This window comes from Homo sapiens, chromosome 10 (genome assembly GCF_000001405.40).
Source record: "Homo sapiens chromosome 10, GRCh38.p14 Primary Assembly".
Taxonomy (NCBI): Eukaryota; Metazoa; Chordata; class Mammalia; order Primates; family Hominidae; genus Homo; species Homo sapiens.
In genome coordinates, this window is record NC_000010.11 from 79,904,365 (window position 1) to 79,932,226 (window position 27,862).

General features: G+C 42.2%; 2 pseudogenes across 2 annotated transcripts, besides 1 other annotated feature; both read left to right on the plus strand.

Moving 5' to 3' along the window:
* BMS1P21 (BMS1 pseudogene 21) lies at positions 534-27,437 on the plus strand (annotated as a pseudogene). The gene is made up of 6 exons (NR_033857.1): positions 534-685; positions 2,208-2,416; positions 3,304-3,492; positions 16,588-16,704; positions 17,550-17,624; positions 27,362-27,437. The product of NR_033857.1 is annotated as a BMS1 pseudogene 21 (transcript).
* Positions 606-705: an enhancer, noted in NCBI's record as "active region_3648". NCBI's record gives its function as "activates an Ori minimal core promoter by ATAC-STARR-seq in GM12878 lymphoblastoid cells {active_cell/tissue: GM12878}" and the evidence as "EXISTENCE:reporter gene assay evidence [ECO:0000049][PMID:35858748]".
* Positions 15,814-18,755, plus strand: MBL1P (mannose binding lectin 1, pseudogene; annotated as a pseudogene). The gene is made up of 3 exons (NR_002724.2): positions 15,814-16,704; positions 17,550-17,624; positions 18,298-18,755. The product of NR_002724.2 is annotated as a mannose binding lectin 1, pseudogene (transcript).
* Positions 27,438-27,862: the final 425 nt, after the last annotated feature.

Sequence of the window (27,862 nt, forward strand, 5' to 3'; positions counted from 1 at the left end):
CAGGCGCCCGCCAGGACGCGGGCTTGCTTTTATTTATTTATTTATTTATTGAGAGAGAGCCGTAGCCTCCCTATGTTGCCCAGGCTGGTCTTGAACTCCTGGGCTCGAGCGATCCTCCCGCCTCGGCCTCCCAAAGGGATGGGATTACAGGCATGAGCCACCGCTTCCGGCCAAAAGAGGGCTTTAGGGCACCCCCAGAACGCGAGATCTCCCTCATCTGTCATCTTTAAAGAGGAGGAAGTGGACTCCCAGTCCAGCCATAGTCCATTCGTCCGGAGCACGGTCACTCCGGGGTGGCCAGGACCAAATGTGCCTCCTTCTGGCTTTTGCACCGCACCAACTAATCCGCGCCAGGCCGCACAGCTGCTCTGGCCTTCGGGGAGGACTCCTGGAGCGCGGTGTACACTGCTCCGGAGTCCCTCCGCAGGAGTTGAGGCAGCGAGTTCCGAGGGCGGGGTGGGGCGGAATCCGGAGGCACGCGGACCCGGTGGAACGCACTGCGCAGACGGCGCCGGCGCCTGCACTCAGCTGTTGACGAGTCTTTCTTCCAGCTCTACCCTGAAAGTCCTCCAGGCACCGGTCTTTTTTTTCTGCCTTTTGTTTCCCTCCCGGCGAGTCGGCGCGACAGTGAATTTCCGTTTCCCGCGGTGTCCAAGCGGACCTGAGGAGTTGCAGCTGTGAGCAGGTTCGGTGGTGCCGCGGGCTGGGGTAGGCGGCGGTGGGGTCCCTGGCTCTGGGGCACTGGGAAGATCGCGAGTCGTGCGCGTGGGAAGGTCCTCCGGCTCATCTTTGCTCCCCAGGAGCAGCATATTTCGCATCTGCCAGAGGTGTGCCCGGGGGTCGTTGGGAGAGGGACGGGGTGAATCCCTGCAGAGAGCCGGGACGGGGAGGGAAGGTGTCGGGGAGACGTGGTTTCCTGGCGACGTGGTCCCGGCAGGCGACTTAGACCTGAGCCGAATGTGTTGACCCCAAATTGTGCTTTTCCCAAGAAGAAAAGGGAGAGAAACATTAGGACAAGTTCGGAACTAAAATATAGTAGAGAAGCAACATAATCTCTGAAATCACACAGCTATTCGGTTTCAAAGAGTTCCTAGTGCCCAGCTCTCCTAACTCCCGGCTGGTGTTCCTTGACATTATGGTGATATATAAAGACTTTCTATTTCCGCTCGTGTGTGTGTCTGTGGGAAGCCTCTGACTCACCTCTGTGCCCCAGTAGCACCCTGTGCAGCCTTGCAATGTAGCCCTTATTGCATGGCACGAAAGATACTAGTTTGGATTCTCTGCAAGTCAGATCATAGGTATATCCATTTACTGGCACAGTGGCTAGCACATCATAGACAGACACAAACATTTATTAAACGGAATTAATACAGGACCTTAATTGAATGAAGTGGCACCCTGCCCCGCTGTTTTTCAATCAAGCTGTCAGATTTTATGCAGCCCGATATTCTAAAAAAAAAACTCACTAATTCAGTGATTACCAATTTATTGGCCACAGATTCCCAGGTACCTCAGAAATCACTGGAAGGGTCTCTGTAAGTCCATAGGGTCTCCAGGCATCATTTAGAACCAGTCATATCTCACACATGCAGATATTGCTATTTTTCAAATGTATGTAGATGAGTTGTAATTTAGGAGTTTTGCAGAGTCAACAGGTACTAAAAGTAATACTGTGATCATGTTGGAAGTTCATAAAAGCATTTTAAATTTTTTATTAAAATTTAAGTTTTGGTTTAAGTTAGGAAACCACTTCATTAGTCCAGTCAATATCTAGGTCTGAGCTGTCTAGTATGGTAGCCACATGTGACTATTTAGAGTTGGAATGAAATTAATTAAAAATTCGTTTTTTTCAGTTTCTCTAAGTACATTTTCAGTAACCACATGTGGCTAATGGCTAAATGGTGGAAAAGTACAGATACAGAATATTTCTATCCTTGCAGAAATAGATACTGATGATGTTGACACTTAAGACGAATAAAAAGTAACTTAATCATAAAGTGTAATCTTAGCAGAAGTAACTCATCTAATTTATAGCATAACAGAGATAAATGAAATTGGGGAGGGTTAAGCAGTTTCTACCCTTGTTCAGTGAACAAATACATCATGTCTTCATAAAGAAATAAATGAAATTTAATGTTTTTCCCTGGGTATTGCCTGGATTGTAAAATGCTTCTCCCACCTCCTTACCCCAACCTTCTTCCTTGTAGGTTAGAGTTACTTGTTATTGGTAAATAGCCACTATGGAGACTAAGGACCAGAAGAAACAAAGAAAGAAAAACAGTGGACCCAAAGATGAAAAGAAAAAGAAGCGGCATCTGCAGGATCTCCAGCTAGGAGACGAAGAAGATGCCCAGAAGAGAAATCCCAAAGCTTTTGCAGTTCAGTCTGCTGTGTGGATGGCTCGATCCTTTCACAGGTATGTTTAGCTACAGTCTGATGCTTCTTTCATTGATTCTTTTTAAATAGTAGGAGCCTCTCACAGGTGACATTTGGATTCACAAGTCTAGTCCAGCTCCAAAGGACATGGAGATGCATGCTGTGTGGCTTTTACTAAAACGTGAGAAGACTTCCCATAGAAGCTGCCTTGCCTCCAGCATCTGCACACTGGTTGGTGTTTCTTGCCCAAGATACAAGAATTTATAGAATTTGATTCTTCCTAAACTTTAAACTGTTTCTATGGTGATAAGTGTGCTTTTTCCCACTGGATATGTTTTACAAAGTTGTAATATAAAATACAAAAATTACAACATTTAATACTAACATAGCTTTATTGAATGAGTCCTTATGATATTCTTAGCAGTGTACTTTAAACATTATTCAACTAAATCCTCCCAGCAGCCTTACCAGAGTAGGAATCATTCTTGCCCTCTTTTTATGGACAAGAAAACTGAGGTCAAGAAAACAAGTTACCTCCAATCGTATAACCAGTAAGTAGGAGAGCCAAATTTAACTCCAGAGCCTCTGCTCTTATCTGTTATGATGCACTGCCTCGGTATTTACCTTTTGGTTTTTAAAAAATTATTAAAATCACTCATAAAACAGTCAGATTTAAGGAGTGTTTAATTTTCAACTCTCTATACTATTGAAGTTATCTTGTTACATCTTTATTGAACAGAAGTTATTTGGATGGGGCTCAAAAGTTAACAAGTTAATTGACAAGTTAATTATATTTATATATTGTCTGTTATACTCTATAAAATATACGAAAGTACTGATATCTATAAGTATATTTTAAAAGTCTACTTTTACTCTATTTTGAAAGTGAGTTTACTTTTTTGTTTGTTTTTTTTTTTAAATGAATAGGACTCAGGATTTGAAGACAAAAAAGCATCGTATTCCAGTGGTTGATCGAACTCCACTAGAGCCCCCACCAATAGTGGTAGTGGTGACGGGGCCTCCAAAGTTGGAAAGAGCACTTTGATATAATGCCTCATTCAGAACTTCATTGGCAGAAGTTGACTGAGATCAGAGGCCCTGTGATGATCGTGTCAGGTAGGGGATGCCACCACAGACATAGAGTTGGCATGGCTGTTGTCATCTGAGGGACATGCGTGTGTTTGTTGTTTTCTTGAGTGGAACATGTTAAATTTTGTCATATCATGTTACTTCTCTTATGCTTTTACTAAGTTAGCTATAACTTCAGAAAAGGGTAAGTTCCCAGAGATAAGGATGTGATACATATCTTATCCTGACTGCTGTATGGCTTTGCCAAGCATGTTCCTTGGAAGGGCGTAGCAGGCCTGGTCACTGTGAACATATCATTTAACAAATAGCACGTACCTCCTATGTGCCAGGTGCACATGCTTGCCCTTACGAAGCCACATGCTGGTGGAAGTGCGCGTTTTCTCTTTTTCCTGTGAGAATTTGTCTGCTTTGGGAGATGGCGACCTTTCCGAGTGTGAGGGAAGATGAAACAAACTTCCAGTGGTAGAATGGCAATGTACACTCTGAAATCTCTTGTTATTGCAATAATATAGTTGGATTGAGGCTTTTCTTTATCTTTGGAGCTTCCATATTTTCTTTTCCTTTTTTTTTTTTTTTGAGGCAGAGGCTTACTTTTTATGAAAAAAAGTTCATAAATATGTATTGATTTTTGTACACATGGCACCTCTCTTCTTTTTTTTTTTTTTTTTGAGATGGAGTCTCACTCTGTCACCCAGGCTGGAGCGCAGTGGCATGATCTCGGCTCACTGCAAGCTCTGCCTCCCAGGTTGACACCATTCTCCTGCCTCAGCCTCCCAAGTAGCTGGGACTACAGGCGCCTGCCACCACGCCCGGCTAATTTTTTATATTTTTAGTAAAGACGGGCTTTCACCATGTTAGCCAGGATGGTCTTGATCTCCTGACCTCTTGATCCACCTGCCTCAGCCTCCCAAAGTGCTGGGATTACAGGCGTGAGCCACCATACCCGGCTGGATGTTGGTTTTTATCAAAAGCCTTTTCTGCATCTATTGAGATAATTATGTGGTTTTTGTCTTTAGTTCTCTTTATGTGACAAATCACATTTATTGATTTCTGTATGTTGAACCAACCTTGCATCCCAGGGATAAAGCCTACTTAACTGTGATGGATAAGCTTTTTGATGTGCTGCTGGATTCAGTTGCTGAGTTTTGTTGAGAATTTTTTCATCAATGTTCATCAAGGATATTTGCCTGAAGTTTCCTTTTTTTATTGTGTCTCTGCCAGGTTTTGGTATCAGAATGATTCTGGCCTCACATAATGAGGTATGAAGGAGAAGGAGTCCCTCCTCCTCAATTTTTTGGAATAGTTTCAGCAGGAACGGTACTAGCTCTTCTTTGTTCATCTGGTAGAATTCAGCTGTGAATCTGTCTAGTCTTGGGCTTTTATTTTTTTTTATTTTTTTTATTTTTTGGTAGGCTATTTGTTACTGATTCAGTTTCAGAGCTCATTCACTATTGGCCTCTTCAGGGATTCAAAATTTCTTCCTGGCTCAGTCTTGGGAGGGTGTATGTGTCCAGGAATGTATCCATTTCTTCTAGATTTTCTTGTGTGTGCATAGAGGTATTCATAATATTCTCTGATAGTTATTTGTATTTCTTTGGAGTCAGTGGTAATATCTCCTCCATTGTTTCTGATTGTGTTATATATGGATTTTCTCTCTTATTAGTCTAGCTGGCAGTGTTTCTATTTTATTGATTTTTTTGCAAAAAGCCAACTCCTGGATTCATTGATCTTTTGAATACTTTTGTGTTTCAATCTCCTTCAGTTCAGCTCTGATTTTGGTTATTTACTGTCTTCTGCTGGCTTTGGGGCTGGTTTTTTGTTGGTTCTTTTGTTATTTTAGTTGTGATGTTAGGTTGTTAAATTGAAATATTTCTAACTTTTTGTTGTGAGTATTTAGTGCTGTAAATTTCCATCTTGACACCGCCTTGGTTGTGTCCCAGAGATTCTGGTATGTTGTATCTTTTTTCTCATTCGTTTCAAAGAACTTCTTAATTTTGGCCTTAAGTTCATTATTTACCTAAAAGTCATTTAGCAGCAGGTTATTCTATTTTGAATTGAACGTTTATGAAATGCTTAAACATTTTAACTAGCCTTTTTTAAAGTGCAATGAGAACTATTAACAAAGAGATAATAGATACATGAAATGATGCTTATCAATTTACCTAACTTTGCATTTTTCTGTCACTACTATTTTGTGGGAGTCTAAGTCTCTTTGAAGGTCTCTAAGAACTTGCTTTATGAATCTGGGTGTTCCTGTTTTGGATGCATAAATATTAATGTTTAGAATAGTGAAGTTTTCTTGTTCAATCAACACTTTATCATTATGTAATGCCCTTCTTTGTGGGCCAGTCCCAGAGAAAGCCTGTTATATTTCACTCAATTTTCTTGGAAACCTCTCTTGTTTAAAGTGTATTGGGACCCAGGTGCTATGAGGTATATTCTTATTCCCCACCTCAAAATATGTAAATTATTGATACTGTTAAAAGAAAAACTTTAGACAAATTTAAGAGAGTTTACTTGAGAAAAGAAAAAAAATGATTTGCAAATCAGCCCTTAGAATCAAAGAAATTTCAGAAAGACTTTGGCACTGTCACATGGTCAAATATCTATGGGAAAAAAATGTAATGTGCAGAAACCGAAACTGAGGTACAGAAATAGCTGGATTGGTTACAGCTCAGCATTTGCCTTATTTAAACAAGGTTTAACCAGTTGGCCGCCTATGAGTGGTTAAAGTATAGCTACTGGGATTGGCTGAGACTAAGCTGTTGTTACGGGGACACATACTACTAAACTTAGACTTTTAGTTTGTTTACCTGCTAAGTATGTGAGTATGGAGATTTTTCAGGCTAGATTTTAGTTTTATTTAGTAATACATTATGGGATCTGAAGGACACTTTTGTAAAGGTTGAAACAAACATATTTTATGCACATTTCCATTTCCGACAAAAGAAAAATGCTCCTTTAGCTCTGCTAAGTGTGACAGTTTCTAAATTAAAAGAACATTATTTACATCTCAATTGTTAATTCTAATATTAATTTCAAGTATTAATAATATAATCATTTTTCACTAAGCCTTCCCTTTTATGCCCGTTTACACTTTCAAATCTAATTATATTCCATTTTCATTTTAAAGGTCAAGCCCCAACTGTTTCATGGTGTGCCTTCTTTCTAATCAAGTATTTGAGACCAGTGGGAGTCAGGCTGGAACTGTATCATGTCAATTTTCACAAGCTGACATTCACAGTAAAAGTAGTTCTTGATTACTTCCCTAACACCTTTGATGTTAAGGGAAAAAAAAACAACAACAACACTGAGCTGTGTATATTCCCTCCTCATGCTCCTGGGTGAGAAATCATAGTTAGTAGCTGCTGATCTTGGAAATCAGAGTTTCGGCTACATTGCTAGCAATAACCTAAATCAATACAGAATAACAACACAAGCCAGTATGTGGTAAGTCATGAAAAATAGATCGGTAGTGATATCAATTGAAAATGATACAGAAAAACCATATTATCTAGAAAGAAAAATACAATTTTATAACACTCTTGGTCCTGAATAGTTTTAACTATGGTACACAAAGCAAGCAAGCAGCAAATTACAGATAAAGATGACTGTTACTTTCTTTCTACTGTTAACACCCTCTGGTAATAGATTGTAACAGAATGACTATTTGGAGGGTTAAGCATTGGGAGATGTCCCTAATTACATAGCATGTTTGGTAACATCATCACATTTTAATTTGCATAGTTTTGCTGTTTTTGAAACTGCATTTATGAGATTTTGGGGAACAGGGTTAAATGGTGACAGAATAGTGTCCTTTGTGAGTATGTGAAATGGAATAATTGGGATAAATAAATAGGGTTTATGTTTCATCTTCACTTCATCTCCAAGAAGTGAAGCATTATTTGTACCATTCCTTACATTTTATATATTTTAGGAATTTATAAGGTTCTTGTTTAAGGTAGGGTAGTAATTGGAACATGTTTAATATGAGCAATTTTGACCAACTCTCTTATTTTTACATATATTATATATATATATAACGTTGTGAGAATTATGTAGACATTTAAGACTTCTTTTTTCAGGCTTTGATACTGATTTCTGAAATAAATATGCTCCATAAAAATTCTTGCAATTTTTAATAGTTATGGACTTTCAAATCAGTTCCCAAATACTTAGTATTCTCACTATACTTTTTTAGAAAGTATATATATATATATATATATATATAGAGAGAGAGAGAGAGAGAGAGAGAGAGAGAGAGAGAGAGAGAGAGAAAATCATTACAGCTGTGAAGTATTTTATTTCCCTCTGTTGAGATTTTGAGAGCTATTGTAGCCTTTCAGAGCTTAGATGAGCTACCTGAGGAATTATTTGCAAAGGGATTGCAATCCTAATTTCAGACAAAACAAACTTTACAAACCAACAAAGATCAAAAAAACAAATAAGAAACCGTATACTCAAGTGATGGAAATGGAATATCTCAATTTATCAAATCTTATAGAACTTTTCATAAGAAAAATATATTTTCTTTAGAAATGCGTACTTGGGACCAAATTGTATCACTTAATATTATTTAATATTTTAACTATGAGATTTTTCTAGGACTTGACTTTAATCCTTAGTGTATCATTGATTACTAATTCTTGCTACAGTATGATGAGGGCAATAACATGTTTGAAAATTTAACCTTAAATTTTTGCTAATTCTAGTGGTAGCAAAATATTTATATACCCCTAAATAAATTTTGAGGAATCAAAGGATTGATACATAAGTGAATACATATAAAATGTTGATTGCAAACAAAAGAAAGATGATTGTCTGAGAGAATATAATTTGTCAGGGCATTTTATTTGCAGGACGTAATAAAACTGGACAATAATATCTATCTCATACAGTCCTTGTGAGTATTAGATATATTAATCTTATAAAGCATATGAAAGAATGCTTAGCACATAGTATTTGCTATATGAGTGTTATTTATTATCAATAGTATTCTTAAGTATCTAGATTTAGAGCTACCCTGAGGCTCTACTGAATACAGTATGTAAGAAATTTCTCATTGTAACTTTCCCTTTTCTGTTTTGCACACATTTCTTGTGGGATTACTTGAAGAAATATTCTCAGTATTGTTCCACATCAAGATGGCCACTAGTAGCACTGAGCTTATGTCTTACTAGCTAAGCTACTTTTTCAGAAAATGAACATTGTTTTCCTCAATAATTTCAACAAAATTTCTAGTTAAGTTTCTCAATACACTAGGTTGGATCATGAGCATATTACAAAATAAACCATATGGTTAATCTTTATTTTGGACAGGTTGAGACATATTATGACCACTGCCCATGATGATTAGGTCCATTGCTCTCACATGGTGTGAACTAGAAGTGAAAGAGAGGTAGAAATTCAAAAAAGATTGAAATGCTGCTACAGAAGAAAAAGAAAATACTGAGGTCTCTGTAATCACAGATATTTATGTTATAAGAAATCAATACAGATTAAAAATTAGGTAAGAAAATTGATTTACTAATAATCTTGATCTTTAGCCACATTTCTCTGAAATAAATTTGCTCTAATGCTGTGACGGGGATCAGCAAGCTACGTTTTCCAAGTTCCTTCAAGTGGGATCCTGCTAGGTTCTGCTATTGGGAGGTACTAGAGAAACATAGGCAAAAGAATGGAAGAATAGGTCTCCTTTTCCTGTTTGTTTGCTGTCCTTGCCGATATTCTCCCAAGAACATCCCCTTGCCCAAGGAGCAGTAATTGTTTCAGTTTACCAATTTTTTCAGAGCCCCAGAAAGTGCCTCTTCAGAGGTAACAGCAGCAGTTGGAACATATCTCTCCCTCAGAGGTCTAGCCTCAGCTCAGGAAGGCTTTTACTCTGAGTTAACAAATTTTAATAACTCCAGTCTCTTCCCTTTATTCATCTAAGCTTCTGAGGAGGTCTGTATGTGGCCAGGAGATGGTGGTGATAGCTGCATCTTGCAGTAATTTTCTTTGCTTTCCACAGTGTTGTTACTTTTTTCTCCGATTTCTTATGTGGTCAATTTTTTAATATTAACTCATAGTCATAGTGTAGTATTCATGCTTTATGTGAAATGAAATGTTTTTTATAATGTAGCCATGGCCTACCAATAGCATATTTTCTTTTAGATTTGGTGATATATATTTTGCTTCAGTGACTTTATATCCTTATTTGTTGCCCAAATTAGTTTTTTGTATACAAAACATCCACTATTACCCTGGTCCCATCATTTCTTCTGTTATCCATTGTCCTGTGATTTCTCCTGGAAAGTGAATTGTTTATCCGTCCATTTCACTCTGTGAAGTCATACAGGTCTATCTATATAGAACTCCTGTGCTCCAATTTATTCCCTGTGTGAAACTGGGCAATGTATTAATCTGGGAATATGTTTCTTCATATGCAAATCAGAGATAACACTTACCTCACAACATTGTTTAGAGCATTAAAAGAAATATAATATGATATCATTCACACAGAATTTCCCTGGGTGTGAATTGAACAATGTCAATTTTTCTCCCATTTAATGTGAAAACTAACTATATAAATAAACAAAAAAAACAAAAAAAAGAAGAAAAAATCAATAAAAATTATTATCAAATGTATACATATTAAAATATTATCGAGTCTTATACAAATTGAGTTTTTCAAAAATAATAATGATTGTAACTTTTATATTGCAGTTAATGCAAGAAGCATTATGAAGGAGAATCACATGTCTAGAGCAAAGTGATGTTAATAGTGTTTATGTTTGAGCCAGATGGAACTCCTCATAGGAGCACACAGTGCTCACCTCCTCCCAACTTTGCATTCAAAGAAATCATATTCATAAGCCAAAATTGGTCATAGAGGAAATATTCAACACCACTAAATTAAGCAAACTAAAAATACAGCAGTTTTTCTCAGTGAACTGGTTGTTAAATACATACTAAATCACCACTAGGTGGTATAGGCCCTCATAAATCGCAAAATAAAAATGGGACTGCTTAGTTTCTATTTTGTTACTTTCTTTATTTCTGAAGAGAATGAGCTCAAATTTTAACAGCAGAGAAAAAAATATAGTTATGAGAGAATCAGACTTTCAAGTATGTGGGGCTATTTTAAGGAAGGACATAGATGTTCTAAATTTATCCTAGCCAAGAAAAAAAATGTGCTTGGTTGGCTACAAATGAAAATCAATAAAATCCTCCCATAGGATTATTGATCAGTCTAAACCAAGTGTCAATTTTTTTTTTTTTGTAAAGGGTCATATTGTAAAAATGTTGGTCTTTATCAGCCTGTTTCTGTCTCAACTAACAAACTCTGCTGCATTAGTGTAAAAGTAACCATAGGCAAAGAATGTAAATGTAAATGAATAAATATAATTGTGTTCTAATAAAATTTTATTTGTATATCAAAATTTAAATTTTAGCATGTCATGATAAGTTATTCTTTGGGTTTTTTTCAATGAGTAAAAAATGTATAATCTACATTTAGTTTGCTTGCTCTACTAAGTGAGTTGGGGGCCAGATTCAGCTTGAGGAGGGTGGCTAGCTAACTCTTAGTGTAAACAATATATATTATTTAGTATTCCTTTGAAGTGATCAACTTGGTTATAATCATGGTAAGCTGGCAAGTGAGTTGTAAGATAAGGACTATGTTACTTAAGTTCTCCAGAGAAACAGAACCATAAATGAGATAGATAGCTGAGATAGATAGCTAAGGTAGATGTAGACATAGAGGTAGAGATGGAGATAGAGATAGATGAGATAAAGATACAGATGATAGAGATAGATATAGATGACACAGAGATACATATACTGATACAGATGAGATAGATAGAGATAGAGACAGAGATAGCTAGAAGAAGATAATTCTTGGGAGGAATTGGCTCACAAGGATGTCGAGGCTGAGAAGTTCCACAATCTCCTGCCTGCACGATGGAGGCCCAGGAAAGTTAGTGATATAGTTCAACCTAAGCCCAAAAGTCTGAGAACCAGGTGTTCCAATATCGGAGGACAATAGAAGATGGATGTCCCAGCTCAAGAAGACAGATTAAATTCACCCTTCCTCTGCCTTTTTGTTTTATTTGGGCTCTGAATAGATTGAAGGATGCCCATAGATACTAGTGAGGATGATCTTCTTCACCCAGTCTACCTATTCAAATACTAATTTCTCTGGAAACACAGACACACTCAGAAATAATGTTTCATCAGCCATGTGGGCAACCCTTAGCCCAGTAAAACTGACACATGAAATTACTCATCACAGGGAGGTCTGGGACAATTCACGTCTTTGTTAATTTAAATAGACACATGAAGAAATTATTTTTCCTCTATCTTTTTTCCTTCTTCTTTCTCTTTCTTTCTTTCTCTCTTTCTCTTTCTTTTTGTTTTTAACTAAAGGACATTTTGTAAGCACATGAAACCAGGGAATTGCAGTAGCCATATGGCTACTATGAGGTGAGAAAAAGGAACGTTTTTGCATCCTGCAGATCTGCCCCATCTATGGTCTTTGTGTTAACTGAGACGACAAATACGTTACTGTCTAAGCTTCCTTTAGTAACGTCTTCCACTACCTTTATGTTAAAACATTTTAAAAGATAAAATTAAAAATATAAAATGTTGTCCTTTTAGAGTGGAATAAAGTTGGCTTCCATAAGCTCCGATGTGAATTTTACACTGATTCTGGCCAAATTTTTCAGACAATTTTAGAAAATTGCCTAAAAATACTCTGTAAATCTAGTGTTAATTATTAGACATTATTTTTTTCAAATGTTATTAATATTATAGTGTTAGATGAAGAAAGTATAATCACTAGGGATGAGTTTAATTTCCTTAAGACAGACAGATATCAGGATCCTCTAATAATACATTAAAGGCCCACTAAAGTCAGAGGTATGTATTTGGTAATGTACCTCACTATATTCTTGTGGACAAGAAGGAGCAATATGGATTAGGTAATGGAATAATTTGGTAAATTATTTAATGGTTAATAGTTACATATTACTAACAAATAAAATGGTTTTAACCTGAAAAATTCATTTTTGTTTATATTCTGATAACATTTTCATCAGTGTTTTAGACATGTTCATCTGTCAAACACATGAAAAGTGAAACAACTCTGAGGATTAGCTAATAGGTTGATAAAATAAAAACCTATATGGATGTCTGTGTATTATAATTATGAAACAGCTTTTAGTCAATAAAACTAAATAGGAAAGACCCTTAAATATTACATATTTAACAATAAACCACACACACATAATGACAATGCTAGGATGAGAGACATATGTTTTAAAAAGCAAGATTTTACTACAGCAAGCAGTGTTTAGCTAGCTAGGCTGTAAACCAAGGGTTGGCAAAGTATGGCCTGCAAGCCATATCCAGCCAATAGACTGGTTTTGTAAATAAAGTTTTATTGCAGCATGGACACACTCATTCATTTGTGTATTGTCTATAAATGCTTTCTCACTGCAACAGCAGAGCTGAATAGTTGTATAGAGATTATATGGCCCACAAAACCTAAAATCTTAGCCTCTTTCCCTTTACAGTAAAGGTTTATTAATCCTGCCTAAAAACAATTTAGCAGAGTAATTTGGCTACAAGGAAAATAATGAATTTCTCTTATACGTTTAATGTCTGGACAAGGTTAATGAGAGCTATGTTTTTCTCCAGGTAGAGTATCCTGGACGTGCAGTTTAAAAAAAAAAAAGCATCACATTTTGAGAGTCTGTCATTTGAAGGCATGGTCTAGTCTAATCATGGTTTATCTCAAATGTAAGTTCAGAAATTGTGGATGTTACAGCAAGATATAATTTGACTCTAAATCAGCAAGTACTTTCAAATATTCAGAACTATCTGGAAGTGAAACAGCTTCCTCTGTAGACAGACAGCAAGTTTCTTATCCCAGAGCCTTGTAGATAGACCATCTGTGCAGGTTATAATCAGGAGATTCACAAATGTGGTAATGATGACATAGTCACATTGACAATGAGGCTTTTAGTCATACAGATTAAATATATACTCTATTGTGCAAACCTCCTAGTAATTGAGAATAAACTTAATCTTGGGCTGCAAGTAGATACAAAGTATTCCCAGTTAGATTTTACATGTATACATTTTGAAACTATTAATTTTTTTAAAATAAAGCAACGACTTTAAAAAAATTTTTATTTATTATTTATTTATTTATTTATTTTTATGGAGTCTCACTCTGTCGCCCAAGTTGGAGTGCAGTGGCGTGATCTTGGCTCACTGCAACCTCTGCCTCCCAGGTTCAAGTGATTCTCCTGCCTCAGCCTCCCGGGTAGCTGGGACCACAGGCATGTGCCACCATGCCCGGCTAATTTTTGTATTTTTAGTAGAGACAGGGTTTCACCATGTTGGCCAGGCAGGTCTTGAACTCCTGACCTCAGGTGATCTGCATGCCTCAGCCTCCCAAAGAGCTGGGATTACAGGCGTGAGCCACTGCACCCAGCCAATTTTCCCATTTTTGACACACTAATTCTAAAGTAAACTTTCCCCTTCATTACTTGAAGATTTATTTCAGGTGTTTTTCAGTTCCTCCTAATTTCAGCTCCTCAGTTCATATTTGGCTCACATTAATGATGGTTATCTGTTCTTGACACATAGAAAATACAAATATAGGACTTTTACTGAATTCTATTTTTTAAAAAGTTCTAAGGAAAAAGCTATTACATCCACATATATGTGTAAAATGTAACATGGACCTAAGAACTACTGTGAATAAATAGCTTGACTTTTAATACAAGAGAGTATATTGAATTTAAAGCTAAGAATCTGGGAATTCTAGAGTACTGTCTGCTAGAAACATTATTATGTCAAAAATAACAAAAAGGGTTATTTGACATGATTTGCTGATCACTAAGCCCACTGAGGGAAGCCCTCCAAGGTTTATGTGAGAAGTAGTCAGTTTTTTACTGGTGCAGAAGAAATGCTTTTTATTGCTCCAAGGATGGCACTGAGCCCCACAAAGCAACCACTGGGGAATATCAGGTTAATAGCATGAATCTGTGGTTATAAAACAAGCACACTGTTTTAAAAACATATTTAAAGTAATTCATGAGTTGGATGTTTCCTGATAGGTATACTTTTCAGTTTAGGCATTTAAAAAAAAGTCTGCAGTGTACCTTTATTTTCACTTTTACTTTGGTGTTTTGATGTCTATAGAAATGAGCAGTTTCTCTACTTCTTTCCCAGAAATTAATCTCCAATGCTGACGTGAGCACAAAGACCTTATGTACTGCGCTGGGAAATATGTTGTGTTTTAAGAATAAAAATTTTCATTAGAGTTAGTTCATGCATCACAGATATTATCCTTCCTGACAAGAGGAACACTGAAGCACAGACACTGTGTTGGGCTGTAGTTCTCAATGGAAAAATTAAGCTTTTCAAAATGTTAGTCACTGCCATGCTAGATGTTTCTTTAAGTCATTTTTACTACCTGTTTTGATAGATTCTAAGAATCAGTCTTACATTGTATTTTTCTATGGCTTACTGTTAAAATCTTATTCATAAAAATAACTATCACGCATGGAAATAGTATACACCAAAATCATAAACCAGAAAGTAATTTATATTTAACCCTCATAACAGTACTTCAAAGTAGAAATTATCTCATATTGTAGAGGAAACACAGGCTCAGATAGGATATAAATTGCCCATATCACAAAACTAGTAAGTGATGGAGCTAGAATACAAACAAGATCTGCCTATTTACACAAATCAATAATTTTTCCTCTATAACATGTTGTCATTACATGCCTTTGGTTTTCAAGTGAAATGCACTCAACTTCACATTTTAAAATATGCCACAAATGTACCCATAAAGTAAGTGAACTTGACTATTGAGTGGGACCACAATTATTAAAAAGTTTGCCTTGGGACCTTTGAAACAAAGACAGTATAGTGACCCTCGGGGAACTGAGTTACATGCCCAAGTCCAGCCAAGAGATGGAACTTGTGGGACCTCAGGTCTCCTGCTCCAGTCTAAGTCCAGCTCTTTCCTTCCATAGGAAAGGAAGAAGAAGGAAACCATGGCTCCTTTGGCACTTTAGAAAGAAATCCGAGCAATCCAGGGGCCAAAGCTCACACAGGCAATGAGTTCTCTTCACCTTTGTCTGGACCACTGTACCCAGGGCTCATGGATAATCCTCAAGCCCTGTGGGCTGTCAAGTAGGACGTGCCTAACTGCTAAGACTTGTGCTAACAGGAGCTCTGGGACCTCAGGGAGAATGGGCTCGCGTTCATCTTGCACCTGCCTTTGTTTTAGCACTGATCTAACTCTCACATTTTTTACCCACCAGTCTCCCTAGTAGCCTGAAAGTCATTCAGAGCCAGGGGTTGTGATGGTCCCCTCTGTGTCCACTGTCCCCAGCACAGGGTCCAGCACACCACAGTGGGTAGCAAATGCTATTTAAATGAGATGGGATGAAATTCCCTTCCTTCACTTTCTTCACCTCAAGGTAAGGACCATGTTCCTGTTTCCATCATTCCCTGTCCTTCTCCTGTCTGTGGTGACAGCTTCCTGCTCCAAAACAAAAGCCTGTGCAGATACCCAGAAGACCTGCTCCATGATTACCTGTGGCATCCCCGTCACCAATGGCACCCCAGGCAGAGATGGGCGAGATAGACCCAAGGGGGAAAAGGGAGAGCCAGGTCTGGGACAGGTTTCTGTGGCTTCCTAAATCTCCACCTCCGGCAGGTGTTCAAGCAAATCTGTGCTTGAGCCTGCCACACGAGGGTTAAAGCACAGACTTGGGGAGGCTCCCCTTTCATCAGGACCCATGCTACACTCAGAACAACCCCTGTAAAATGCCATTGCCTCCAAAACAAAGCTGTTCGTGGACTCTCTGGGATCCCATATTTCCACACAGGAACTGGGGGTGTGTGGTTGTCCCTTCAGAGGGGTGTCCTGCCTGGTTGGGGAGCTGGCCTTGGTGCAGGCCCTCCACTAGGTTGCAGGAGAGTCTTTCTTCTTTGGGTCAGATCACTGGCTCATTGGCTGTGCCGGGGGTGAACAGGAATGGAGCATTGAGCTTTTGGGGAAAAAAAAAAGAGTGACAGCCACTGGGTCATCTTCCCTTTGTCTTGCAACAGGTCAAGGGCTCAGAGGTTTGCAGGGCCCTCCTGGGAAGATGGGGCCCCCAGGAAACACAGGGACTTCTGGAATTCCAGGACCTAGGGGCCAAAAAGGAGATCGTGGGGACAATTCAGGTAAGGGGCACACGTCAGCATGTGTGGCCTGGGGGTCCCGGGCCTGGGGAGCTGAAGGACCAGCTGGGAGGTCCCCTTTTCCTTCTTCTCCTGCTGCCTCATGGGAAGATGCCCAACTCTGCATCCAGGCCCAGTGCGCCTGGCCCTCTCAACTTTACTTGGGGCCTGAGGAGACTCCCATAGGTGCCCAGGTGCAGACGTTCAAGCCATGTAGGGCCATTCCCTCATCAGGCCCCTTAGCAGATGGGCCCTGGCTTCTCTTCAGTGGAAACAGTTCAGTGTGCACCTCCGGGGTGCCAGGGAAGAAATAAGGCCCTTTAGGGGGTTGGGTTTACGTCCATTGTCACAAGAGTGGCACGAAAATGTTCTGCCTCTTAGGACCCCTGGCTGATGGGGAACATCACAGCCAACTTAGTTCAGAGTAAAATAGAGCAAAATTCAGTAAGAACAAAACAATAATGACAATCCACTTATTCATATTTGTCTACCAGCCTGTCAAAACAATAAAGGTATTTAAAAGTGTATCTGGAATGAGAAATGAGAAAGAATTACAAGAAAAATTTTCAAAAAGGAGGGTAATGAGTTGAGTATTTTCTTATGAATTCTTACAATATGACAATATGCAAGCCATATGTGGAGACGGGGGTCCAGGACTGAAGTTCCAGGTTGTGAAGGGATGTGGAGGTATAGCTGGGAAGGAGGAATGTAGTCATTTTCCCCTTTTTATTTCTTCTGCATTCTTATTTTCCTGGAATAAGCATTCTTCTTAGTAAGCTTTTTTCAAAATGCTCCGCTCTCCAAATTAAGGTCTTCTCCATAAATACCTTCTCCCTATTGCGTTGCAGTTGCTGAGGCTAAGCTGGCCAACTTAGAGAGAAAGCTATAGAGCCTGAGATCAGAACTGGACCACACGAAGAAGCGTGAGCTTTCTCTCTGCCCATAATGTGTTCTTGGCTCTCACTCTTTTCTTCAGCGCACTCTAGATTTGGAGGAGGTGGGAGGGGAACTAATTCATGAGCGCTCGTCCTACACCAGGGCCTGTGCTGGGTGGCATTTTCCCATAAGATGGTTTCATTCAATCCTCTCAGCAACCTCAGTTGTGGTTGTTGAACTTGCTTTATTGACAGGTGAGGAAACCGAGGTGCAGGAAGTGTTAGTGACTCATTTCAGGTCACACAGCCGGGAAGTGGCAGGGGAAGGGTTGGATGGAGATCTGTTGTCTCCAAAGTCTGTGCTCCTTCCTTGTCATCTACTGTGCTCTGATGTCTGTCCCTGCCTCTTCCTTATCCTGGTGCCCAAGCCTGCAGTGAGGCCCAAGACCGTCTCCCTATATGTACCTGTGCTGGGGCAGGTTTTAGCAGATGCTTTTTCAAGGTGGGATACCCAGGGGAGTCTGGGCTGTCTGCAGGAGTCTGGATGCCCCTTCCCAGGCTCTGCAGCTGAGGCTTACTTCCTGACCAGGCTCTGGCCTGAACTGCTGGGCATAGGGTGATTTTTCAGAGGTCTGGCTTCCCAGGGAACTCAGACTGCTTGCCTACTGTCCTGCGCTGGGCTCCAAACCCAGCCAGCCTCACTCACCATTTGTGGTTTCAGTGTAAGCCTTCTCCTTGGGGAAAATGTCTGGGAAGAAGCTTTTCGTGACCAATGGTGAGCGGATGCCTTTCTCCAAAGTGAAGGCTCTGTGTGCTGGGCTCCAGGCCACAGTGGCTGCCCCCAAGAATGCCGAGGAGAATAAGGCCATCCAGGATGTGGCCAAAGACACTGCCTTCCTGGGCATCACAGATGAGGCAACTGAAGGCCAGTTCATGTACTTGACGGGCAGGAGGCTGACCTACAGCAACTGGAAGAAGGATGAGCCAAATGACCACGGCTCAGGGGAGGACTGCGTTATTCTCCTGAACAACGGGCTCTGGAATGGCATCTCCTGCACCTCCTCCTTCATTGCCATCTGTGAGTTTCCTGCCTGAAGAGGCACGTTCCTCAGCCCCCTCCTTGCCTCCCTGCTGAACTCTCTGCTGCTTTGGAAGAGAATTCAATGTTGGTTTTCTTCTGCCCTGTGTTGAGTCCTTCCTTCATGTGGATGGGAGGAAAATGAAGGGGATATATTTGATTGTGGGGTGAGAACAGAAGAAGAGGCTGGCTGTCAGGCACAAGGGTTCTGGTTCAGCACATGGCAAAGGACACCACCATCCCACTAGGAGCACAGCGCTGGGTCGGAGTCTACCCTGGAAAGGGCCACATCTGACCCTCTCATTTCATGGTGAAGACACTGAAGCCCACCAGAAGGAACCAGTGGGGCCACACCTGGGTCAGAGTAGGCTGTAGATCCCAGCCACTGAGAGATCTTATTCCTTTTCTCCATGAGTTGCCACTACTGAATGCCTAAACTCCTTCCATGGTGAGCCCAGACCTCTCTAGGACACAGGTATTGTTTCTAGTTGTTCATGAGCTGCGCCAGACAACCTCTCACTACCTGACTGTAACACTTGGCAATATCCTACGTGGGCAACAGTTGTTAGTCCTAGGAATCCTCTCATCCTGCCCATGTAGCTGTGGCCACCCTTTAGTCACTAGGGTGACCTTAAGGCCAAAGAACAGCTTTTCCTCCTGCATCATTTTAGGATGCTGACTCGATATTGAGGTGTGTCAGCTGCGTGTGAGGAGGCAAATTGTCATGCAGAGTGTACCCTTCTCCGCAGGCCTCGTGAGTCTCATGAGTCTCAGCCCCAACCCCTACTCCAGTCCCCCACCTGGCCAGCAGCCCCTCCTTTCCCTGTAACACCCTCTTCCCATTATAGTTCAGTGGGCCCATTATCAGTACAGACAAGCGGAAAATTACCCCAAAGGTGAGCTTCATACCCTACGGGTTAAATTATGCGGGCCCAGCTGGCCAACAAATGCCATCCACTTTCGGAGCAGGCTTCTGATGCCATTGGGACCCACAGTTCTGCTCATGACCATGGCTGTTTTTCAGCTATCTCAGGGTGGGTGGCTCTGAGATGACATAGAGCCTGTGCAGCAAACTAAGGGAAGGGAATGGATTCCAGACCTGCCGTATGCCATTCACACAATGAGATGGGAAAATATTTCATAAAAAGGCTAAGGGCCACTTTAACTCTGTGAAAAGCTTTAGTTAATCTTGGTTTTCTATTTTACTTCTCTTTGTATCTGAACTACCAGGAAAATCACCACATGGTTGGTAAGTGCTTGATGAATATTTGTCAAATGGATGCATCAAAAAATTACACAGTGTGGGATCATGGTGGGATCCCAGGAGTGAATATCAAGCATGCTTTCTCTCAGTTGTCCTTCTTCTGTAGGACTATCCGGGCAGGGCTGGGACGTGCCAAGGGCATTGGGACCATCAGGGTGAGGGTGGCAGGACCTGTGTCCTTGGCCTCTGGCCTACATAGACAGCCATATCACTGAATTTTCAATTCCAAAAACCCCTTCTAAAGGTGCCAAAATTGGGGTCAATGAGAGGAGTATTTTCGTGATGCACAGCAAAATAATTAACTGCTTCCAATACAATCCACACTGCTTACCGAGGGAACAGGACACTGGTTAAGCTTTAGAAGCACATATGAACCATAGTGTATGGCAAATAGAGAAAGGAAGGACCAGAAACTTTTTAGAGGGAGAAAAGACACACATATACGGTGACCCAGAACAAAAGAATGACCAGAACCAAGCATGAATGTTACACCAAGCATGAATGTTACACCTGAATGTTCTCACAGCCTAGATGAAAATGAGAAAACTGGCCGGTGATGGTTACATCGTCCTTCCTATGTTATGCTAAGGAGGGTTGTCGTGGTCAGTGCTGAGATGAATGCCTCCTTTTCCACACTGTGCATAAAGGACAATATCTTCAGCCATGAAACTGTAGAACATGCAGTTATGTACTTCACATAGGGGTGAAGTACATAACTGGTTGTTATGGTTTTCCAGCATGCAATGATTGCCCCTCGGTCAGGGAAATGCAAAAAATCTTGCAGGGCAAGCTCCAATTCTTCCATCCCCCTTTCAGACTGCTTCTCTTAGTTCCTTCTACGGGACTCTTTTCCTCCTATCTCTCAATGACTACAGCCTCATGTTCCTGCTCTAAGAGCTTTTTATGCCACCAATGCCCTGTACTCCTTCTCCCCAGTTCATAAGCCTCCTTTCCCTGCCCCCTGGCACTTTGAGGTTCCTTGCTAATTCTCTCTTCTCTCAGCTCACCTGGCAGGGCATGAAGACTCCTATTTCTATTTGATGGTAAGGAAGATTGCCATGGTCAGTGCTTCTGGATGGGTCGGGCTTTGTTCTCTCCCTGATCCAGCACCTAACCATCTCTTTTGAGCTCCTCTCTCTAAATGTATCTGCTGCCACACTGTTCTTCCTTTAGTCTGGAATTGAGACAGATTGCCTCTCTGTATTCATTTCTCAGTTCTTATCTGCAAGCAGTGAGAGCCTGGTGTGTGTTAGCTGGGGAGAAGGTGGAGTTAATCTGAAGATATAGGATTCTCTTTCTGCAAGAAAGATGCCAAGAAAAACAGCTTTTAAAAAAGATACAGGATTCTCATGAAAGTCCAAAGATTGAAACTTCAGTTTATCCAGGCCTTCCAGGACCTGGGACAAGAGGAAAATTTTGGATTTAAGATGACCCTCCAAACAGTCTCCCTCCCTCCTACCCATCCTTCCTTCCTCCTTCCCTTTCTTCCTTCCTCCCTCCCTCCTTCCCTTCCTTCCTTTCTTCCTTTCTCCCTCCCTTCCTCCCTTCCTTTCTCCCTCCCTTCCTCCCTTCCCGACTTCTCTCCTTCCCTTCTCTCTCCCTCTTTCTCTGTCTGAACGGCTGAGGACAGGCAGCTTCCTTTATTAAGGAACAGACAATGATTGACATCTCTTGCACAGGGAACCCAGTGAAGCCACACACTCCACGGACAGGCCTGAGGAGCCCCAGGCAGCTCATTCCCCTGAGACTGCAGGAGTGGGGATGACTGTGAGCAACCTCTTGAGCCCTGCCGTTTGTTCGAATGGAGGAGATGTCTCTGCCATTCATTTCTCACGTTGGTTTTTGGACCGCAGAGCTGAAAGACATCTCCTAGCTGCAGTCTTCCTTTGCTGCCTCTTGCATGGAGTAAGAACCTGAAGGCCATGCTCAGAGCATTCCTGGAAGGGAAGCTGGTGTTCAGAACTCTGTGCAGCCTGGGCTCTGGCTCTGGGCCATGCCCAGGGGAGAAGAAGGCCTCGGTCTCTGTGCACTATGTTAGGGCCGAAGGAGAAATGGCTTGGTGGATGGGAAGTTCAGATTTTGGGAGCAGGAGACAGGGGTTTCAGGTTAGCTCCCTGACTAATGTACTCAGTGGCATGTCGGTTTCCTGGGCCTCCATTTCCCTATCTATAAATAGGTCACTAAAGACTTCTTTCCTCTAAAACTTAATGAATCAATTGTCACACACAAGTCCAGAGTGTAGGAGCCAATTCAGGAGCAAAGTGGCAGGATCTGAGTTTTTGTGTGTGTGTTATTTTGTAGAGATAAGGTTTCACCATGTTGTCCAGGCTGGTCTCGAACTCCTGAGCCCAGGAGATCCCCCCACCTAGGCCTCCCAAAGTGGTGAGATTACAGGTATGAGCTACTGTGCCCGGCCCTGTTTTCAGTTTTTGTTTCCTGGCAATTCTGTCCAAAGTAATTGTGGGCTAAATATCAGCTACTTCTGAATTCTACAAAAGACAGTCTGGGTAAATTAGAATGACAAATATACCTTGGCCTCAAGGTGGGAACTTCGGATTTAAATTATGTCTGCAGAAGTAGAGACACAGCAAGTATAATCACAATTTGCCTCCTGTGTCTGAATGAAAACAGCTACCAAAGCCTGTGACACTCGAGGCTCAGGCTCCTGCCTGGGTCTGAATCCTGGAATTGTAGGGCCTTGTGCCTGCAGGACACTGTTTTCTCAGAGTCCTACAGCTCTGCTGCTTCACTTTATCCATGTCCAAGCCAGAAGATGGGGAATGGGGTACCAGCTGAGGGCCCAGTGTTCATATCTTTCAAATCTTCTTCCTGCTGGTGCCAGCCAGCCTCCCTTCTCTGTGGCTGTCAGAGGGGGACCAGTGCCAGGGGTCACAGTCAGTCCCTGGACTTGCCCTCTGTGTCACAGCAGAGCCTCTGACCTGGAAGGCTGTTTGCTTGTCATTATGTAACTGGTCTGTGCTTTTGAGCCTGCCAAAGCTCAGGGTTTTTCCATTCTGGAAAGGGATTGGTTGCTATCAGAGGGCCTGGGCTGGAGATGCCGGGAAGTAGATTTTATAAAACGATGTTGTCCTGGTAACCCTGAGTGGCTGATGGGCTGCTGGGAAGAGGGGAGGAGATCAGGGCAGTGGGCCATCTGGGAAAGGGTGCTTACAACCCTGGTGGCCACTGTGTGAGGAATAGACAGTGTCCCCAACTATGAACCTGTGGTTTGTCCAGCAAACACAGGTGTATGTTTCAAAAAAGCTGGGGGCAAGCAGCCATTCATTAACCAAGCAAATGCCTTGGGTGAGGCTAGCCATTGCCAACCCACAGCCCAGCCTGCCCTGCCCTGGCTTATGCTTGTGCCACCTTGTACCTCTCTTCTGAGTAGTGACCAGCAGAATTGACTGGAATGCTTGACAAAATCATAGGCTCTTGGCCTCATTCTGGACCCAGTGAGTGAAAACCTCAGAAATCTGTCATCTTCATGGGTTCCTCAGGTGAACCGGATGTTTGGCCAGTTTTGAAACCACTGCCCCAAGAAATGCAGACACCACAGTGGCTTTCTGCCTGCCTCTCACCGTACAGTGCAGCCCTGGAGCCTGGAAGCCAGCATTTTCCCATTCCTTACAGGCCCCTCATGAGGTGAAGGGAGTGCTGCTTAACTGTATAGTGTCAGACCCCAAATAATCTCCCTCAACGGACCAGCGCCCCGCTAGTGAAAACCAACTGCAGACCTAAACCTTCCCTATTTCCAGGGTTTCACTGCTTCCTGTGACTTTAGGGAGGAGGTCTGAGGTTGAGACAGCTCTGAGGAGCTTCAGAGCACGTGAGGCACTGGATGCGTGAGACCTTGAGGGGGGAATTGTGTGCACATGGGCTTGGGGCTGTTTGTGTGTATTGTTGTACATGTGTGAGTGTGTGTTGAGTGCTTGTATGGAAACCAGCAATCCAGTATGGAAACCAGAACCCAGTGCTTGATGTTCTCAGCATCCTGCCACTGGCGGGGGCTCAGCCCCTACCTCCCCAGCCTGTCTCCAGGTTTACCTCTGCCTACTCCCCACTGAAGAACATTGGCTCGGGCTGACCCCGGAGACTCTGGGTGAGGAGTTGAGGTGCTTGGTCATGGACAAAAGGTCCTCTGTAAGGGGTCCTAAGCTGTGTTCTAGGACACCGGGGGGTCCACAGAGATTGAGCACTAATATGATCCTCTTCCCCTGCCAGGTCTTGGATTGTATGTCACCATTCCCCCCACCACCCGAGTCCCTACCTGACCACTGAAGCTAAGGTTGCTCCAACCCCAGTCACCATTACAACACTCCATTTTATTTTCTTCTAAGAATTATGGTTATCTGATATCATCTTGGCTATCTGCTTAAGTTATGTCAGTGTTGCAAAGTCATTAAGAATAAGGAATCTAGCTGGGGTCAGTGGCTCACGCCTGTAACCCCAGCACTTTGGGAGGCTGAAGGGGGCAGATCATCTGAGCTCAGGAGTTCAAGACCAGCCTGGGCAACACAGCCAAACCCCACCTCTAAAAATACAAAAAATTAGGCGGGCATGTTGGCGCATGACTGTAATCCCACCTACTCAGGAGGCTGAGGCAGGAGGATTATTTGAGCCCAGGAAGCAGAGGTTGCAGTGAGCAGAGATCGTGCCATTGTGCCCCAGTCAGGGCAATGGAGTGAGACTCTGTCTCAAAAAAAAATAAAATAAAATAATAAAAATAAAAATAAAAATAAAAAGAGTAAGGATTCTGGAGTCAGACTGCCTGGATTCAAATCCTGGTTCTACCAGTTTGCACCTGTGTGACCTGGGCAAGTCACATAATACACTCTCTGTGTGTTAGTTCCCGTCTTGGTAAAATTGGGATCATGACAGTGTCCACCTCAGAGGGTTGTTGAAGGAATAGATGAACTGATATAAGCAAGGCAATTAGGACAGCACTGGCCTGCAATAAATGCCATGCAAACATTAGTCCCTGCTGTTGTTATTAGTACAAGACCATATCACTCACTTCTGCAGTCCCACTGCCTTGAAAAGGGCTGGGAACCACATACACACTCAATAACTGTTGAATGAATAAGTGAATGAATAATGAATGAATGAATCTGAGTCCTCCACCAAAATGTGTGACCCAATTCCCTTCTCTGGAGCTTAACTCAGCTCTAAGCTGGATCCAAGAGAGAAACAGCAAAACTCATTTTGGAATATGGTTACGGACACAGCCTCCTTTCTCTGATAATTGAGTATCCCTGGCCCCGGCAGCAGTGGCCATGTGCAGCTGGTGCTGTGGCCTCGTGCTGCCCCCTGCTGGTTGCCTCCAAGACAAGGCCAGCAAACCCAGAGAGACTCAAGCCCAGCCAGGTGAGTGGTGGGATCACATGAGCACCTTGTCTGCAACTTCGGATGCTCCCGCTTTCCTCCTCTCGACGATTGTCCTGGTTGCTTTGCTCACTGGGGTTGTGCCCCCACCCTGCAGGGCCAGGGCCAGACGCACGCTCCTACTGCGTGACCGCAGGTCTTCAGCATGCTGGATCCCGACAGCCCTCAGTGCACAGCAAGCCCCGGGGACTGGCGGGATGCTCTGCTCCTTGTCTATACATCTGTCTCCTTTCCAAGCCTAGAATGTGATCTCTTTAGGGCAGGACCCACAGGCCACCCCCACACTCTCCTTGCCTGCCCCTCCACAGGTCTCTGTGGCCGAGGCAATTTCAGAATCCCCTCAAGACAGGACTTTGCTGCTGCTCTTGCCCGAGCCCTGTCGGGGCTGGATTTGTGGGCTTCTCTCTGGGTTCCCTTTGCGGACTTTTTGGGTATCTCTCTCAAATGCAGTCACTTTTTTCTTTCCTCAGCATCAGCAGGGAAAGAATCTGGACTTTTCTCTGAATCAGGTTCTTTTGGAGAACACTACTAAGTATATGCTTGTGATTTTCGTGTGATGACCTCGCGTCATTTCAAAAGGACAAAGGGGTTCAGGCTGGGAACCTGTAACTCAGGACAGTTTAGGGACTCTGCCTGGGACCCATCAGGCCACCAGCAGAGGGTCCGGTGCACAGATGGATGGTGGGGATCTCCTAGGGGATCTCAAATGGAAATGACATTGTTGTTCCGCCAGCTTCTACACTGTTCTTGTTTCTTGTTCTTGGGCTTCCTGGGAAGTCAGCTGGTGGAAGCACAGGATTCTTGCAGAAGTCCCTGAAGGTGCCTTCACTGGGTGCATGATGAAGCTGGGGGCAACCCCCTTGTTGGGTACCCTATGGACCTGCAGGGCAGTGCCCTCTTAAGCCAAGGATGACAAACATTAGCACACATACTTACCCTCTCCTCCCCGATATCTGTGCCAGATGCAACTAATCAACGATCTCCTACACAGCCTGGAAAAGATCCTGAAAGCCATTTAACCCCACAGTCATTACCAAGGGATGTGAGATGGTGTGGGGAAAAAGACTCATTGTCCAGCCCTCCAGCCCTGCCCAGAGCTCCTGATGTGTCCAGCTTCCTATCCCCATGAGAATCTATGACCTTGACAATTACAGAAGTACCACCAAAAGCCATATGCCGAGTTGCATGTGAGACCCTTTTCCCCAGTGAGAGCATCCTCTGGAGACCTCACCTTGCCCAGCAGTGCTGACCCTTTCCTGTGCTGTCTGCAAGCAGTTCCTGGGTGGTCATCTCTCCTACACTGATGGGATCTGGTTCCCAAGCACCCCAAGGGCAGGAATCAGAAAAGGTCATGAACATTTTGGATTCACTATGTGAAAAGGGTCTGGGGAGTCCAGAGGTAGAAGCTCCCAACCATGGCTGAGATGGAGGGGAAGGTGATGAGACATGGTTTAACATCACACTCACTGTTATATGGTCGTGCTTGCCTAATGCACCAAGATTATGAGCTAAATTCCACATCAGATAAAAAGCAGTGCCGCTTTCCTCCTCAGCCAGGGAGATGTAAACCACCTGGAGCTTCAGGGCAAGGAGTGTAAAATCTGACCCCAAGCCACAGAGCAAAAGCAAGGGAAGGATGGGAAGGGATGCCAAATTCCCTGAGTTCTTGCTGCTTTCAATTCTGATCAATGCCTAAAAGGAAGTGAATATGTTATCTCAAAATTCTTTTTATCTTTTTTGTATCTCTGCTCCTTTCTTATCGCTACTACATATGTTGGCTTTTTTTTTTCTTATACAGATTTATCAACATGTATTTGTCTAATTCAACTCTTAAAAAGTCTAGTTTCTGAGATAATTTGTCATATCTATTATTGCTTTTTGTCGTTGTCAACACAGGGTCTTGCTCTGTCTTCCATGCTGAAGTGCGGTGTCACAATCATGGCTCACTGCAGCCTCGACTTCCTGGGCTCAAGTGATCCTCCTGCCTCAGCCTCACAAGTATCTGGGACTTCAGGTGCACGCCACCACACCTGGCTAATATTTATTTATTTATTATAGAGACAGGATCTCCGTATGTTGTCCAGGCTGGTCTTTAACTCCTGACCTCAAGTGATCCTCCCCAATCAGCCTCCCAAAGTGCTGGGATAACAGGTATGAGCCACCATGCCCAACTTATTTCTATTATTGTCATTTGTTTTATATTTCATTAATTTCACTTTTATATTTATTTGTTTTGTCCTTTTTTTGTTGTTTTAAAAATTTGTTTTAAGAAGATGAACACTTAGTTCAACTATTTTCAGTCCATGTTTTTTTATTTTTAAAATTTTAGTAATGAAAGCAAAGTTACTTATTTCCTCTGAGTATAGCTGTAACTCTATCTCATAGATTTTGGGATACATATTACTGTTTCATTAAGGTTTAAAAATTACTACTAAGATTATGCATTTTTCACGTATCAGTACTATTGGCCATTAGTATTTCTTCCTTTATGAATTTCCTCTTCTCATTCTTATGCCATTTTCCTATTTAGATATTCATTATTTTCTTATTGATTTATCT